A 16,231-nucleotide genomic window follows, 5' to 3' on the forward strand; every position below is an offset into this window, starting at 1 on the left:
GCATTTGCCAAACCAATCTGAGGCTGCCCAGATAGCCATTGTTTGGGAGTCAGGCCCTGAACGTTGGAATTCAGAACACAGTGTCCTCAGAGGAAAATCACTTTTGTGCAGCAGGAACAGGCGCAGAGTGAGTAATTGGCTGGTTTTAGGAGGGGTGGGGAGGCTTCTTGTTTCTAAACTCTGCCCAGTTGAATTGCCAAAGACCCACCCTCTTCTCAGATGCATCTTTCCTGGGTGATCAGCAGAGGCCAGGGTCTCACAGGGTTTGCCCACTTGACTGACTCAGTGTCCATGGTCCTGGGCAGCAGGAATCCCGTGTTTGGCTCAGAAACTTGGCTTCCTGTCATCCCCTAATCAGATCCAGCTGTGCTCTTGGCTATCCTTGCCTGATCATCTTATTTATTGATCATTGTGGGCTTTTGGTCTCAAATGATTTTTTTTTTAAGTCTGCCAGAAATCTCTGCCTATAAGGTTTGCTGTTGTTGCTCTGGGCTCGAGGTTAACAATATATCCAATTTTATCCTTAAAAGCAGGGGCTGTGAGCCAGGGTTAAGAATTCAGTGGGTCTGTGAACTGGGATCAGAAAACAATTGACTTTTATTTTTCACTCATCTATAACTAAAATCTGTCATTTCCTTCCATTATAAATGTGGACAAAAAAGCAGAGTTGTATGAGAGAAACCAGTGACTCTGTCACCAGTGGGAATCACAGATCATTTGACATTATCCTGCAACTGTGGCAAATTCTCAGAATACCATTTATGCAAATCATTATTTCAATATTACAGTGACCATTCAACCTGCCACTAGATAGCGTATTTACTATAGTAATCAAGAAACACATATATTAAAATATTAAAAAGTCCACACTTGGGATATATATGTTTTAGTATAATTGATTTCCTTTGTAAACCTGTGCATAGTATTTTATGCATTTAAAGACATTATCTTGGAACTCCTGCTTCCAGGAAGAAAATAGATTTGCTTTTCCCTATTGCTTCTGCCAAGCATAAATAAAAATCCTGGATATTACACAAAAGAAAAGATAAGAAGACTCTGAAGGGTGGAAATGAGACAGACCAGACAAGGACCGCAGAATCCGGGGTACAACACAGTGGAGAGTTCCCTGGGTTGTCTTTTTGCCTCGTATATCCCAGACTTGGAGCTGAAAAGCCTGGCAGCACAAAAATACCATCAGGCATGAGCCCAAAAGCCACCCCAAAAGGCCTGCTGTCTCTAGTCAAGCCTAGAAAAAAAGCTTAGCAAGATAGATAACTCGGACGATGACTGCTCCACTCCAGCCACAGACCACAGGAACGAACACTGTGGCCAACACCCACGTGAGCAAAGCCAGGCGGAAGGCCCAGACTTCTACATTTCCAAGGCACCCCAACACTCCCACCGGGGTGGGATCCGAAGAGGCCAAGCAGGGAGCCAGGACTTCCATTCCAGCCAGACCTTAATGACTCCCATCTCCTTCTCCACATCCCCAACCTGCCAGTATCCATGGAGCTGGGACATCCACCCCACCCAGCAGTAATAAGGGATCCCTCCCCCTCCCTACTGGGGTGGTATCAGACGGGGCCTTTAGTAGGGTCAAGACTTTCACTATTGTACAGCAGTAATGAGAAATAAGTTCCCTCTAGAGTGTCAACAGAGGCCAAATGGAAAACCTGAACGTCTACCTCCCCTAGCAGTAATGAGGCAGTGCCTCCCCCTTCCCCATCAGGGTGAGGTCACAGCTTCCACCCACAAGTGGACCTCTACCACCCTCATTGCCGGGAAGGTGCTTTGCACTCAGAGCCTGGCTGGCCTCTACAAAGGCCTGGTGCTACTCTCCTTAGAGATATTCCCTTCTCCAGCATCTACTTCCCACCATTTGCCAACTTTAACCACCCAGGGTTCAATGAGCTTACTGGAAAGGCATCCTCTACTCATTCTTTCAGGTCAGGCTGTGCAGCAGGTTCCATAGTTTGCAGTCACGGTGACACTTCTGGACATTCTGAAAACTTGAGTCCAAACCCTCAAAGAAGGCCTGGGATGAGGACATTTGTGGCAGGGTCACCACTGTGCCAGCAAACTCTGGAGTCCTGGCCCAAATATTTTCACTGGAGACTTCTACCAAACACTTAAAGAAGAATTAATAGAAATTCTACACAATCTCATTCAGACAATAATAAGAAGAACACTTTCCAATTAATTTCATGAGGCTAGTATTACTCTGAGACCAAAATCAGACAAGGATACTACAAATCTTTTTAAGAACAGACCAGCATCCTTCACTAACATAGATGCAAAAATTCTTAGTGAAATATTAGCAGATATAACTCAGCAATATATAAAAAATAATACGCCATGACCGCCATGAAGACTTTATGTCTTCATAAAGAGAGCAGGCTGCCAGGCCCCATCACAGCACCTCTCTGGGAATGCTCAGGACATCTATTTCATTGGTATTGGAGAGTATATCTTAAGGTGTTTTGAGTAGATAGAGCTGGAGTTTGAGTCCTTGTACTCATGGCTCTCTCTCTCTCTCCAGCCCATTTTACTCAGCCTGGATGGGGCAAGAACAGGATAGGCCACCTGTAGCATGTCTTCTTCTCCAACTTGTAGTGCTACCTCTACTCAGAAGTAACAACCCTATTCTAATAAGCATGTTGAGCATGGCCTTATTCTCCCTTCATACCTGCATTTATTTCCTTTGTGGGTACAGCTACCAGGGGCTTTCAGAAACCCCCAACCACCACTAGATAGTGTATTTACTGTAGTAATAAAGAAACACATATATTAAAATATTAAAAAGTCCACACTTGGGATATATTAACTGTTTTAGTATAATTGATTTCCTTTGTAAACCTGTGCATGTATTTTATGCATTTAAAGACATTATCTTTTGATAATAAAACTGCCATGAAGACTTCATGTCTTTATGAAGGGAGCAGGCTGCCAGGCCCCATCACAGCACCTCTCTGGGATTGCTATTACTATTATTATTATTATATTACTATTACTATTATTATAAACTATTCAACAACAAAAATAGTACTTGCTTTTGTTGTATTAATTGCAGGACCTTAACAGATAGTCAAGATAGAAGGGCTGTTTCTGTATTTTAATATTTCTATTTCACACTCAAACTCAGCACAGTTGAGTCCGTTTGAGGATTTAATTTCGTTAATCTTGAATTAGACAACTTATGATGAATCCTCATGCTGACTTTGGGGAAAAGGAGGATCAGAAGTTCAAGGGGACCATGACAGCCCCTAGTCAGCACCTAGTTTGAAGCCAAGCACAGCCTTTCAAACCCTGGAAGGCAGATGAATGAGGCCAGCTCTGACTGAGCAGCCTGGGCAAAGTCAGAGCAGCCACCCTTCTCAATCCCTCCTCCTAGAGCACAGGCCCTCACAGACCCCTCCCTATCAATGTTCAAGGAACACTATTTGAAATAAACATGAATGGTTAAAGAAAATGTACATGGAGCTTAACGAAAATGAAATGCATCAAAATTTGTGGGACACAGCTAGAGCAATGCTGGGAGGCAAATTTATAGCAGTAAATACATACATTAGAAAAGAGAAAAAATATCCAATCAACCGTTTACTCTCCCACCTCAAAGATCAAGAAAAAGAAGAGCAAAATAAACCCACCACTAACAGAAGAAAGACAACAATAAAGATAAGAGCAGAAATCAATAAAAGTGAAAACAGAAAAACAACTTTAAAACCCCTAAAACACAGAACTGGTTCTTCGAAAAGATCAATAAACTGTATGAACATCTAGCAAGACTGAAAACAAAAAGAAGATACAAATTACACATATCAGGAATGAAACAGGGTGTATCACAACAAACCCTGTAGACATCAAAAGAATACTAAGGAAATACTATGAACAACTCTACACACATAAATTTAACAAATTGGATGAAAGGAACCACTTCCATGAAAAATACAAACTACCACAACTAGTCCCTTATGAAATAAATAATTTAAAAAGCCCTAAAACTATTAAGGAAATTGAATTTGTAATTTTTAAAAACTTCTCCAAAAAGAAAATCTCCTGGCCCAAATATTTTCACTGGAGACTTCTACCAAACACTTAAAGAAGAATTAATACAAATTCTACACAATCTCATTCAGAAAACAAGAGGAAGAACGCTTTCCAATAAATTCATGAGGCCAGTATTACTCTGAGACAAAAATCAGACAAGGATACTACAAATCTTTTTAAGAACAGACCAGCATCCTTCACTAACATAGATGCAAAAATTCTTAGTGCAATATTAGCAGATATAACTCAGCAATATATAAAAAATAATACGCCATGACCAAGTGGGGCTTATTCCAGATATGCGAGGCTGGGTCAGTATTTGAAAATTAATCAATGTACTCTACCTTGTTAACAAGCTAGAGAATAAAAATTTTATAATCATGTCATCTGATGCATAAAAGGCATTTGACAAAATTCAACACCCATTTTTACGACAATAACCCTCAGAAAAATGGGAATAGAGGGATACTTCCCCAACTTGATAAAAAGCATCTACAGAAAAGCTACAGCTGACATTAGGGACAAGGCAAGGATATTTACTCCTGCCACTTTTATTTAACATAGCAGTGGAAGCACTAGCCAGTGCAGTAAGGAAATAAAGGTAATACAAAGCAAAGAGATCACAAAGGAAGGAAGAATTAAAACTGTCCCTGTTTGCAGATGACATGATTGTCTATGTAGAATATCCCAGGAATACATACAAACACACACACACACTCCCTCCTAGAATTAAGTGACTTCAGCAAGGTAACAGGTAAAAGACAAACAAAAATCACAATCAATTGTACATATATATACATATATATATGCAATGAAAACTTGAATATGAAATTTAAAATTAAACACTATGTACCATTGCTCAAAAAATGGAATACTCAGGTATAAATCTAGCAAAACCTTTACAGGACTTGTGGGCTGAAAATTACTGATGAAAGAAATCAAAAAATATCAAAATAGAGAGACATACCATGTCCATGGTTTGAAAGACTCAGCATCATGAAGATGTCAATCGTCCACTTCCTCTATGCATATTAACTGTGTAGAAAAATGGGTAAAATATGTTACTTAGAACAAATTTGAATATATTTGCTTTGTCTTCTAGGGAGGTAGGGAGATAGAGGCAAGACAAATATTCCGTTCTGCTTGCTCCTTTCGTTTACAGTGAAATGGAGAATGGTGCCGAGGGAAAGGAACTCCTGAAATTTCAATGCTTCTCCCAGTTTTCCTGTGACACTAGAGGAGGGACCTGAAGATAAGTAGAGTCCCTTTGCTTAGTAGAGCACACAAAGTGTGCTGAGCACTGTGATGTGTCACCCAGATCTGCCTTCAGGGAAAGGGATGTATTCCCCATCTGCTGGGAGTGCTGGCAAAAGACAACTCTCAGCTGTCAGCCCTCTTCAAGGATTGCTTCAACTGGAAAGAAAATTGCCTCCCCCAAGGTCATGTCTCTTTTAGGGACAGCCTGCATCCAGTAAATAAATTGGTGCTGGGAAATAAAGGCCCAGCTCCTTGCTCCAAATCAGAACAACTCTGAAGAATCATCCCAGCTTCAGAGCAACCAGTAGGATCAGCTAAGGCCTCCACTGACACTTAAAAGAAATCAACTTCTCCTTGTACCTTCCTGATCTTTCCCTTCCCTTCCACAGATACTGATTCCTAGAGCATTTCCTAATAAATGCCTCATGTGCTAATCTCTAATCTGCTTCCTGAGTAACCCAACCTGCAATCACTGGTGCCAAGAATGGTCCAAGAAAGCACACATTGGTACGGAATCATGCAACTAGCATGTGGACCCCATCACTTATGGTGAAGCTCAGCTCCTGGTGATGCTGACAGGGTGTTGGCTATCGCTAAACTTGATCGTCACTTTGAAACCCCATCTCTACTAGAAATACAAAAATTAGACTGGCATGGTGACAGGCGCCTGTACTCCCAACTACTTGGGAGGCTGAGGCAGGAGAATTGCTTGAACACAGGAGGCAAAGGTTGCAATAAGCCGAGATCGCGCCATTGTGCTCCAGCCTGGGCGACAAGAGCGACACTCTGCCTCAAAAAAATAATAATAACAAACAGCTGAGGGTGATTAACTGGCCACTTAAAGCTACATGTAAAAGCCAGAGAGTTTTCCAGGGAGTATATAAGAAGGTGCTGATCTGCTGCCAAAGGGCAGAGAAAGCTGAGGACCAAAGCTAGACTAATTGAAAAGGTAACCAAGCTCTTAACCTAACCTTGTTACAGTCAAGGCCCCACTGGGAAAGAATTGGATTCTGACACGTGGGACAGGGATATCTGGGCTAACACACCAAAATTTTGATCCAGAGATTGAGAATAGTCATGTCAATAAAAAGTTATTGTCCTGTGTCCAGTTTTTGTACCCACACCAATTTTTAGACCCAGAATCCATTGACTAAAGCAGAGATAGGTCTTAGGAGGAAGGATTCAGCAACACCAGAGCAAGTGTACATGGTAATGATTCTCGCAGTCTTTGCCTAAGAGGTCCTACAGCCATCTACTTAGGCAACTGTACACTGAGGGAAAAGGAATACCCAAACAGTTCAAGGACTGTCAGCACGGGATATCCATTGGCATTGACACCTAGAGACCCAAAGCTCCATCATGCCCCCCCCATTATAGTTGGGGGTATATGGAGGCCAGGTAATATATGAGCTCTCAGCCAGATTTGACTCACAGTAGGCTTACTGGGTCTATGGATTCACCTGGTGTTCATTTTTGTGGTTCCCAAAAACTCACTTGATAGTATAACATCTACATTAGTTTCATGGTCTCTGGGATGAGAGCTATCAGAATGGGGAAGGCCTTCAGAAAAACTCTAAAACAGCCTCTCCCAGCCAAAACAGTAAATCAACAGCAATGCTGTGTCCCAGAGGGAATGACACAAATTAGTGCCACCCTTATAGACCTAAAGATGGAGAGGTTGTGATTATTCATTAACTGCATTTTATTCACAAGGCTGAACCTTGTAAAAACTAGACAGATGCTAGAAGATGGCATTGGAGTGCTGTAAACTCAATCAAGCAGTTGCAGCTGCTGTGCTGAATATGGTATCTTTGCTATAAAATATTAACTTGGCCTCTGATATGTGATATATAGCCTTTTATCAGGCAAATGCATTCTTTTTCATCCCTATCAGAATAAAAGTATCAAACCCAGTTTGTGTTCAAGATACATTTGTAGCTTTGCTCCTGATCTATGTTAACTCTTCTGCTCTCTAGCATAATAGTCCAAAGAGATCAACCTGGTTTTGTTCCCGTGGCCACACAGAACAGGGAACCTGACTGCAGTCCCACCTATCTGGAACTATGGAGAAAGAGCTAATTCCATCAAAGAAAGTGGAAGTTCCAACAGGAAGAGGCAATGGAGGCTGGGCAGCCCCAAGCACAAATGTCCCTAGAATCATCTGATTACAGGGAGAAGAGTGTCTTGCCTCTTTCAGTTGCTTCACTCACACATCCATTCACATACTCACCTACTCATTTATATTTTTTCATACTAAGCTATCTTATCTGGGAGGTATAAGAGACGAAACATGGTCTCTGTCTCTGGGTACTTACCATTGTCCTGGGGTCAGAAAACAGGCATGAAAACCATGATTAAACCACAGAGGATGGAGTACAGGTCAAAGACTGGAGCAGCTGTTATCCAGTTACCAATAGAAGTCAATATCCTTGGAGATTTAAATAAAGTGGGCCAGGGGAACAAAGTCAAGTCCATCATGTATTCCCTCCCTTAAGCTTGATCTGAGGGAGACAGAGAGTGGAAGAAGGTGGCATTCATTCATCCCCACTGTGCTCCCCACTAGACCAGTCCGGCTTCTTATTGAATAAGCTTATGAAGCTTCTTGCTGTCATTCTTGGGCAAGATAAGCTCATCTCTTGGCACCTAAATTTATTTGATATCAAATGCATACACTAATACGTATCTCTTAAAAGTTACTGTAAAGATATATATGTTTAAAAAATGGTAAACACCCAACAAGAATTCTTGCATCATGGGAACTCGACCTAAGTGAGTCCCCGCAATACCCTCTCCTTTCTCTATTTGTCCCAGAATCCAACAGTGCAGCCCCATGCTTCGTGATAGAAAAGTGAGGTATAAATTGACATCTTTGCTTTAAATAAGCTTTACTGGGAACTGAATCCACTGACCTGCTGTCATTGTAAAGGCTGAGTGTGTTCAATAAATTGTTTTAAAAGAAAATCCATCAATCGATGGCTATCTGCTATTCAATTATCTGCCAGTTCTATTTTCCTCAGCTACTTTATTTTTTTTTTTTTTTAATAGAGATGAGGCCTTGCTATGTTGCCTAGGCTGGTCTCTAACTCCTGGACTCAAGCATTCCTCCCACCTCAACCTCCCAAAGTGCTGGGATTACAGATGTGAGCCACTGCACCCGGCCCAGCTACTTTATTCTTAACAGTGTCTGAAATAAGCCTGATCATGCATAAACTCACAGTGATATTCTTGCAGAGCTTAACAAACGACTTGCATTTTTCCATGTCTTCCTTATATTTTTATATATTGTTTAGTTTAAAAATAAGATGAATGATTTATAAAGTCAGAAAAATAATGATACTAAGAATTGAAACAAAATCACTGATGTATGCTCCTGCTGTGTCACTAACGCAGGCTGTGCACCCTGGGATAAGCCCCATACCCTCTCTGGGCCTCAGTCATCTCATCTATTGAATGAGGGGATTGAACCAGATGTTCCCTCATGGTCCTTCTGAGGACCTTGGCCTCTACATGTATGTCAGAGTCTCTCCCCGCCCAGAATAGGATATTTTACAGCACGACTAGCCAGCAGGAAACTCTCAATCTTCTCCAAGTCCCAGCAGGCACAGCAGCAAGCAGAATTCTGTAAAGTGGGCAGTGCCTGGCGTGTCCCAGAATAACAGTCAACAATCAAATGCAGAAATCAGCCTTATTGCTGTGAAGTACAAGGCTGTGTCTGCTCCTCTTGGGTTCTGTTCCATCAGCTACGAGCATCCAGGAGTTAGCCTGTTCACCGTGAGTCAGGTTTGCAGTCAAAAAACAACACAATGAACTATGCTCTCTGAGCAGGTGCGCTGACCACAGGGAAGGGATGCTGAGAGTTAAATAAACCCAAAACCAAATCACCCCTAATGAACAGATTCATTAAGACACACATCCTAACTACCTTGACAATAAGCATGAGAAATTGGTGCATAAATACAGTCTTACCGTGATTTTTCTTTTCTTAGTCCAGGCAGGCTGATTTCTATTCAGGCTGTAGCTGCAGCCCCTGAGTATTATTACCTGCTGATTATCATAATAGGCACCTGAGCAAGAATGGCTTGATAAATTGCTCATGCACTGGTGTATTTAGCAGGGCATTCATTCAAGCAGCCAGAGCATTCTTCATCCTTCCATTGGAGTGGAAAATAACCAGTAGCAAAGGCAGAAGAAAGACATGGGTAATAAATTTTAGGAGGGAGGGAGGGTAAGGAGAGAAGGGAGGGAAAGGAGGAGAGGAAAGGAGGCGAGGGACGTCCATCTAATGATAGAATATCAGACCTCACTTGGTCAGCATCCACAGAGGGCATGGGTTGGCTTGGGAGACCCACTGTGGGCTTAGCTTTGTGTCAAGGCCAGCCTTTGCACAACATGTGCCAGGAGACCAGCTGTCTGGACGTCAAAGGATACTGGCAAACACAAAGCAATGGGGACAGAGAGAGAGAGCGCAGTTCAGGAAAACCCAACACACGTGAGGAAACAGTACGCTTCTCGGGAGGCAGCACGGGGTAGTGGGGAAGGAATCTGGGCTTTGGAGAAGCCTTCCTGAGCTTGATTCCCAACTTTGCTGCTGACTTACAAGCTGTATGGTCTTGGCCAAGCTACTCAATCTCTCTGTTACATAGTTTCCTGACCTACAGTATACGTAGATTGGCAATGGCCACAAATATCTTGTAGCTCTTTTCTTTGAGAGGTGGAGCCTATTTCCCCAACCCTTGAATCTGGACTGCCTTGTGGCTGATTTTGCCCAATAGAATAAAGCAGGGGTATTGTATGAGTCCCAAGTCTAGGCTCTGATAAATTTAGAAGCTTCCACTCCTTCTGTTGGAATTCTGCCACCATGTGAACAGCCCAGGCTGGCCTACAAGGATGAGAGGCTATGCGAGGAAGGGATGAGTGGTTCCAGCTGAGGGTCCCTAATACAGTAGCCTGCCAACCACTAGACTTGTGAAGGCACTGTAGGTTGACTTGTGAGGTCAACCAGTCCCCAACAACTCACCAGGAGACGGAAAGCCAGAGGATCAGAAGGACTGCCCAGCTGACCTACAGAACTGTGAGTAATAACTTTTTTAATTGATTTAAGCTGAACAGTAAACACACCTGATAGCAGTAGTGTAAGCATGCCCTTAGAATGACCCTATGGCAGATGCACCTGAGTGTGTGTTTTGAGTTAGGGAGTCCAGGCATGCCCAACCCAGAGATTCATTCCTTATCTATGAGAAGCATCTGAGACCCCGGTCAGTCCCGTTAAATACAGGCTCTACAGAGGATTTGAGGCCCTGAGTTTTGGGTTAAACGAAGATTACCAGGTGGAGGTTGTTAAAGGGAGGCTGTTAAGTCAAAATGCTAGAGAAACTGCAGGCTGTTAGCAAGTGGTGGTGGTTATCTTGCCCAGCCCACTACCACAGGGCTCTGCAGTTATGTTGTCCAGCCCGCCACCACTAGGCCGTTTCTGTATGTAAGGCAGTTATCCTGCCCAGCCCACCACCACTGGACTCTCTCCCCTGTATGTAAGCCCCTAATAAAACCCCATGTCTCATTTGCTGGCTCTGGGTCTCTTCTTCAGTCTCTTGAACCTGGTGCCTTCCTTATTGAAGTGGGTAGGGGTTTGACACAATGTGAGCCACTATGTTTTGGGGTGGTTTGTTACGCAGCCAAAGCTAACAGATACGTGAGATATCCATAATTCCAACCTCATAGAGTTTCTATCTATAAAATACTTCACTGCATAGTATGCAGTAAATTTTCAATCAGATGTCTGATCAGGGGCTCAGATGCCCCTAGTAGCTAAGGAATGAATCTCCGGGTTGGCCACACCCGGGCTCCCTAACTCAGAACACACATTCAGGTGCGTCTGCCATGTGGTCATTCTAAGGGTGTGCTTAAGCTACTGCTATCAGGTGTGTTTCAATAGTTATTATTACTATTATTGTTTGTCATTATTATTAATATGTCCATTGTGTGAGGTAGGACAATGTAACAGAAAGGGGTTTAGGGACCAGACAGGTCTGGATTCGAATCTCAGTGCCACTGCACTGTAGATAAATGACTTCTCTGAGTTTCAGTCTGTTTATCTGTAAAACTGGGATACCAGTATCAATTCCGCAGGGCTGTTGTTGGTGTTGAAGATGTGTGAGCATGGCTTGGAGTAGGAATCTCAGAAAGAAACATGGGCCCACCGCTTGTGCTACCTTTGCATAGCAAGGACAGCAGGACCCTGAGCACCCACTGTGTGCATCATCCTGAGCCCACCAGGCTGCCCCCAGTTTCTGGAGAGAGCATAGAGCCCTGAGGCACCTACAGGGCTCACTTCACCCTCAGAGAGTTCTCATCTCTTGCTTGAAGTTGGACAAGAAAATGCTCCAAAGAAGATTGCACCTTACACATTTGAGGCACCTGAGAAACACCCGCCCCATGACCTAGGCCAATTTGCTACTAGAATTCTGGTTCAATAACACACGGATGTGTCTCCTAGCAAGATTGATTTTTTTGTTTTGTTTTGTTTTGTTTTGTTTTGTTTTGTTTTGTTTTGTTTTGTGACAGGGTCTCAATTTGTCACCCAGGCTGGAGTTCAGTGGCATGATCATGGCTCACTGCATCCTCTGCCTCCCAGGTTCAAGCGATCCACCTGCCTCAGCCTCCCGAGTAGCTGGGATTACAGGCATGCACCATCATGTCGGGCTAATTTTTGTATTTTTAGTAGAGATGGGGTTTCACCATGTTGGCCAGGATGGTCTCGAACTCCTGACCTCAAGTAATCCACCGGACTTGGCCTCCCAAATTGCTGGGATTACAGACATGAGCCACCACGCCCGGCCAAGCTTGTTATTTTTAACATGTTCACTACATCAACATTTTTTTAATTGATTACCAAACATGACATTTTGAAAATATACAGTTTCACATCAAGAGTTTCTTATCTAGTAGGTCTCGGGTAGGTACTAGGAACCTGTGTTTTTGAAAAGCTCTGCAAATGATTCCAATGCACAGCCAGGTTTGGGAACCTTTCAATTTATTAAAATCAGATAATGGTACCTGCATTCTGAAGCAAGTCATTTAACTCATTTGTTTTTGCTATGTGAAGTTTCATAATCTCAGACCTCATAGTTGTGTGATTAAGGGAGCCTCTAAATGAGAAAAACAAGAAGGGAAATCTAGTACATTCCTGAACAAGTCATTCCTTTATGGGTACTTTCAAAGACAATACTGGGAACGTAATAGAAATTCCCCTGGCAAAAGCCTATGCCCAGTCCATGGATGGAGGCACTAACCTTGCAGTCATAGCCCTCTTGGGTGCAGCCTGGCTCACTGCAGGGAAGTGCGCTGGACCCTGGGGATACATGGGTGAAGAAAGCAGATATGGCCTGTACCCACACGAAGCTCACATCTCATAGAGGACAGACCAATGTGTCATGACGAATCATGATGAGCGTCATGAAGAGAAAAAGCAAGGAGATAAAGTTAAGAATAAGAGGCCAGAGCACTTTAAATGAGGCAGTCAGAGAGGGCATCTCTGAGGAGGTGACATTTAAGCTGAGACCTGAAGGGAAAGATCTCTTCCTCCAGGAGGAGAGCAAGGTAGAAGGCGCTGCAGTAGGAAATGGGGTGTTATTCTAAACAGCATTCCAGAAGCATCAGGCCAACTTTAGGACTGATTGAGCTACCCACAGTTCCTAAAAGAGGAGGCCATGTGTCACCTCAGGGTTATCTCTTAGGGAACAGCCATGCCCTCCTATGGTCTTCTTCTGTGGGGGACTTTGCCACAGAATCCTGGGCCTAGTGAGATTCAATGTGACTATGCCTCAGAACAATGGAGGTTGACTTTGGCAACTTCTCAGAAAACTCGAGGTTGTGAACTCTGAGCTACAAAGAGTATACAGCAGGCACACACTAGCCCCTGGCCCTCAGGGAAGGTTGACCAAAGGTGCTGTAACAAATGCCAACATCTGTGCAGGGACCCACGTGTTGAGCAGAGCAGGAAACCCACACTTCAAAATTGCCTTAAAATGACCAGGGTTCTGCGTTTGGGAGTTTGGCAACAGAGCAGGTAGCCAACCCTCCCTCTTATCACAATCTGGAAGCATAAAAGCAGGAATAGCATCATAACATAAAAAAGGGGAAAAAAACTCAGCAGTGAGCACAGTTATGCTTTAGCATCAAGCATCTTTATGTTATTTTTCATCCATTTTCATCACCGTTGAGTCTCCATGGTTTATGATTACCTTACGACATTTTTAAAAAGAAATTAACTTCAACTTTCTAGCAGCTATCTGCTAAGATACAGCTGATGACTCATAAAATGTGAATCACAACACTGGCAGGCCTGGCTGGAAGCCATTAGTGTGCAGTGGTTACTCAGGCCCATATTCCCCGAGTTACAATTTGCCACTTTTCAGAACCCAACACATGTTTGTTCCCTCTCATTTGGGAAGAATATGGAACAAGGGCTCTTGAATATGGAACAAGGCCTGAAGAAGATGCTGCCCTGGACTTGTGGTAGTCCTGTGGGCCAGATAACCCAATGGCCAGTATGAACCTCCCATTTTAGAGGCGTAAAAGGGTTTCTTTCCCTCCCTTTCAGTTAGGAGTATGTCACCCAGTTCTGGCAAGTGATACATAACGAGAGCAACTGAGAAGGCCTCTGCCTTCCTGCACTGAAGGAGAGTTGCTGGTGTTTCCCTTTCCCCTTCCTTCTTGCCTCGGATGTGGATGAGTATCCGGAGTTTTAGCAGCCATTTTGAAGACCTGAGGTAACAGCATCAGGATAAAGGTGAAGCAGTTAACGATGAATGGAGGCAAAAGACAGAAAAAGATTTTAAGTCTTCAATGACACCATTGAGCTACTGGGCCGACCTGACACCCACCCACCTCCAGACTTCTTTGTAAATCAGATGATAAAGAACCTTAGGACTTCTGCCTTGTGGTTAGTTTGGTATTCTGTTACTTCCTACAGAAAGCATTCCTGATTGACGTGGGAATTGAGCATCTGTGGCCTAGATCCCATATGCTACCTTTTCTTCCTGGGGCAAACGTGAAATGTTGAACGAGGTAAGACATTCAGATATGATGCTAATTACTCTCTAAGGCCCTTTTCCACCTATCTCTTCTTCATCCTCACTTAAACTGGCCCACTTCCAGTCCTGATTCTCTCTCTCCTGGACCATGCAATAATTCCTTAATGTATTTCCCCACTTCCTGCCTTCCCATTCCACACTTTCCCTTTTGCCAGCATTAGGTCCCAGAGTACCTTCCTAAACAAGTCATTCTTTTATCTCCCACTCACCCTAAACCTTCACTGGCTCCCCACTGCCTCCCAAGAAGAGCTAGACTCCTTAGGTTGAAACTCAGGGTAGGACTTTATAGTGGTTAGGAAGGCAGACTTTGGACCAAATCCCAGCTCCACCACCTCCCATACATCATTCCTTGGCAAATTGCTTGACTTTTCTAAATATCTGTTTTCCTATCTGTAAAATAAAAATAACAATGAGAATGTCTACTTCCTAATGTGCTGAGAAATAAGTGATGCAATGTAAGGTACAGCACTGTGCCTTACACACAGTAAGAATTCAGCCAACCTAACTGGTATTACTAATCTTCCTGAATCTAGTTTCAGCCAGCTTTTCACCACTCTGTCTCGTAAGCACAGCCTGCACTCTTTCAAATAGGCATCACCCTTTCCTTCCTTTGCTAATCACCTTACCCTGCCCATAGCATGCTCTCCTGCCACTACTCTCTTCATTACATAAAATCCCAGGCATTGGCTGGGGGTGGTGGCTCACGCCTGTAATCCCAGCACTTTGGGGGGCCAAGGTGGATGGATCATTTGAGGTCAGGAGTTCGAGACCAGCCTGGCCAACATAGTGAAACCCTGTCTCTACTAAAAATACAAAAATTAGCCAGGCATGGTGATGGACAACTGTAATCCCAGCTACTTGGGAGGCTGAGGCAGGACAATCACTTGAACCCAGGAGGCAGAGGTTGCAGTGAGCCAAGATCGTGCCATTGCACTCCAGTCTGGGAGACAGAGCAAGATTCTGTCTCATAAAAAAAAAATAAAAGAAAATCCCAGGCATCCTTCAAAGTCTAGCTCAAATATCACCTCCTGCATGAAGGCTTTTCTGACTGCCAGGGTCATACATGAACAGCCCCACCATTGAATTCACATGGCATTTGTTTATGGTTTATGTATCACTTTTCTGACACTTAGTACAGAAGTCAACTGGCCACATTTCTCCACCCCAGGCTGACCTCATCCTTCCATCCTAGGCTGTCCCAATCTCTCCACCCCAGACTGGCCCCATCCCTCCACCACAGGCTGGCCTCATCCCTCCACCCCAGGTTGGCCCCATACCTCCATCCTATTCTGGCCCATCCCTTCACCCCAGGCTGGCCCCATCCCTCCACTCCAGGCTGGCTCCATCCCTCCATCCTAGCCTGGCTCCATCCTTCCACCCCAGGCTGACCCCTTCCCTCCACCCCAGGCTGGCCCCATCCCTCCACCCCAGGCTGGCCCCATCCCTCCACCCCAGGCTGGCCCCATCCCTCCACCCCAGGCTGGCCCATCCTTCCACTCCAGGCTGGCTCAACCCTCTATCCTAGGCTGGCCCCATCCCTCTATCTAAGGCTACTGCTCCTCTGGAGAAAGTCTCCTTTAAATGACTCCACCCTTGGGAGTTTCAGCAACTCCTCCCTGCCCTCTGGTCTCTGGATTGAGAGATGACAGCTCCTCTGCTTGTAGTAGCTACTGGTTCCTGCACCATACTTCATATTTCCCTACCCTTCACCTTCACCTTTGTTGACAAAACCTCAACAGTATTAAGGGCCCTGCTGAAATGCTTGCCTGTGGGCAAATAAGGTGAAGGATTTGACTCTTCATGGACCTGTGCCCATGTGGATTCATGGCTAGAAG

At 44.0% G+C, this 16,231-nt stretch overlaps 1 pseudogene, besides 1 other annotated feature; it reads left to right on the forward strand.

Moving 5' to 3' along the window:
• SLC25A18P1 (solute carrier family 25 member 18 pseudogene 1) lies at positions 1,734-2,483 on the forward strand (annotated as a pseudogene).
• Positions 13,447-14,646: an enhancer, noted in NCBI's record as "MED14-independent group 3 enhancer chr10:120344096-120345295 (GRCh37/hg19 assembly coordinates)". NCBI's record gives its function as "activates an origin of replication core promoter dependent on BRD2, BRD4, P300/CBP and CDK7 cofactors, and independent of MED14, by STARR-seq in HCT116 cells {active_cell/tissue: HCT116}" and the evidence as "EXISTENCE:reporter gene assay evidence [ECO:0000049][PMID:35650434]".

The sequence above is a fragment of the Homo sapiens genome, chromosome 10 (assembly GCF_000001405.40).
Source record: "Homo sapiens chromosome 10, GRCh38.p14 Primary Assembly".
Lineage (NCBI taxonomy): Eukaryota > Metazoa > Chordata > Mammalia > Primates > Hominidae > Homo > Homo sapiens.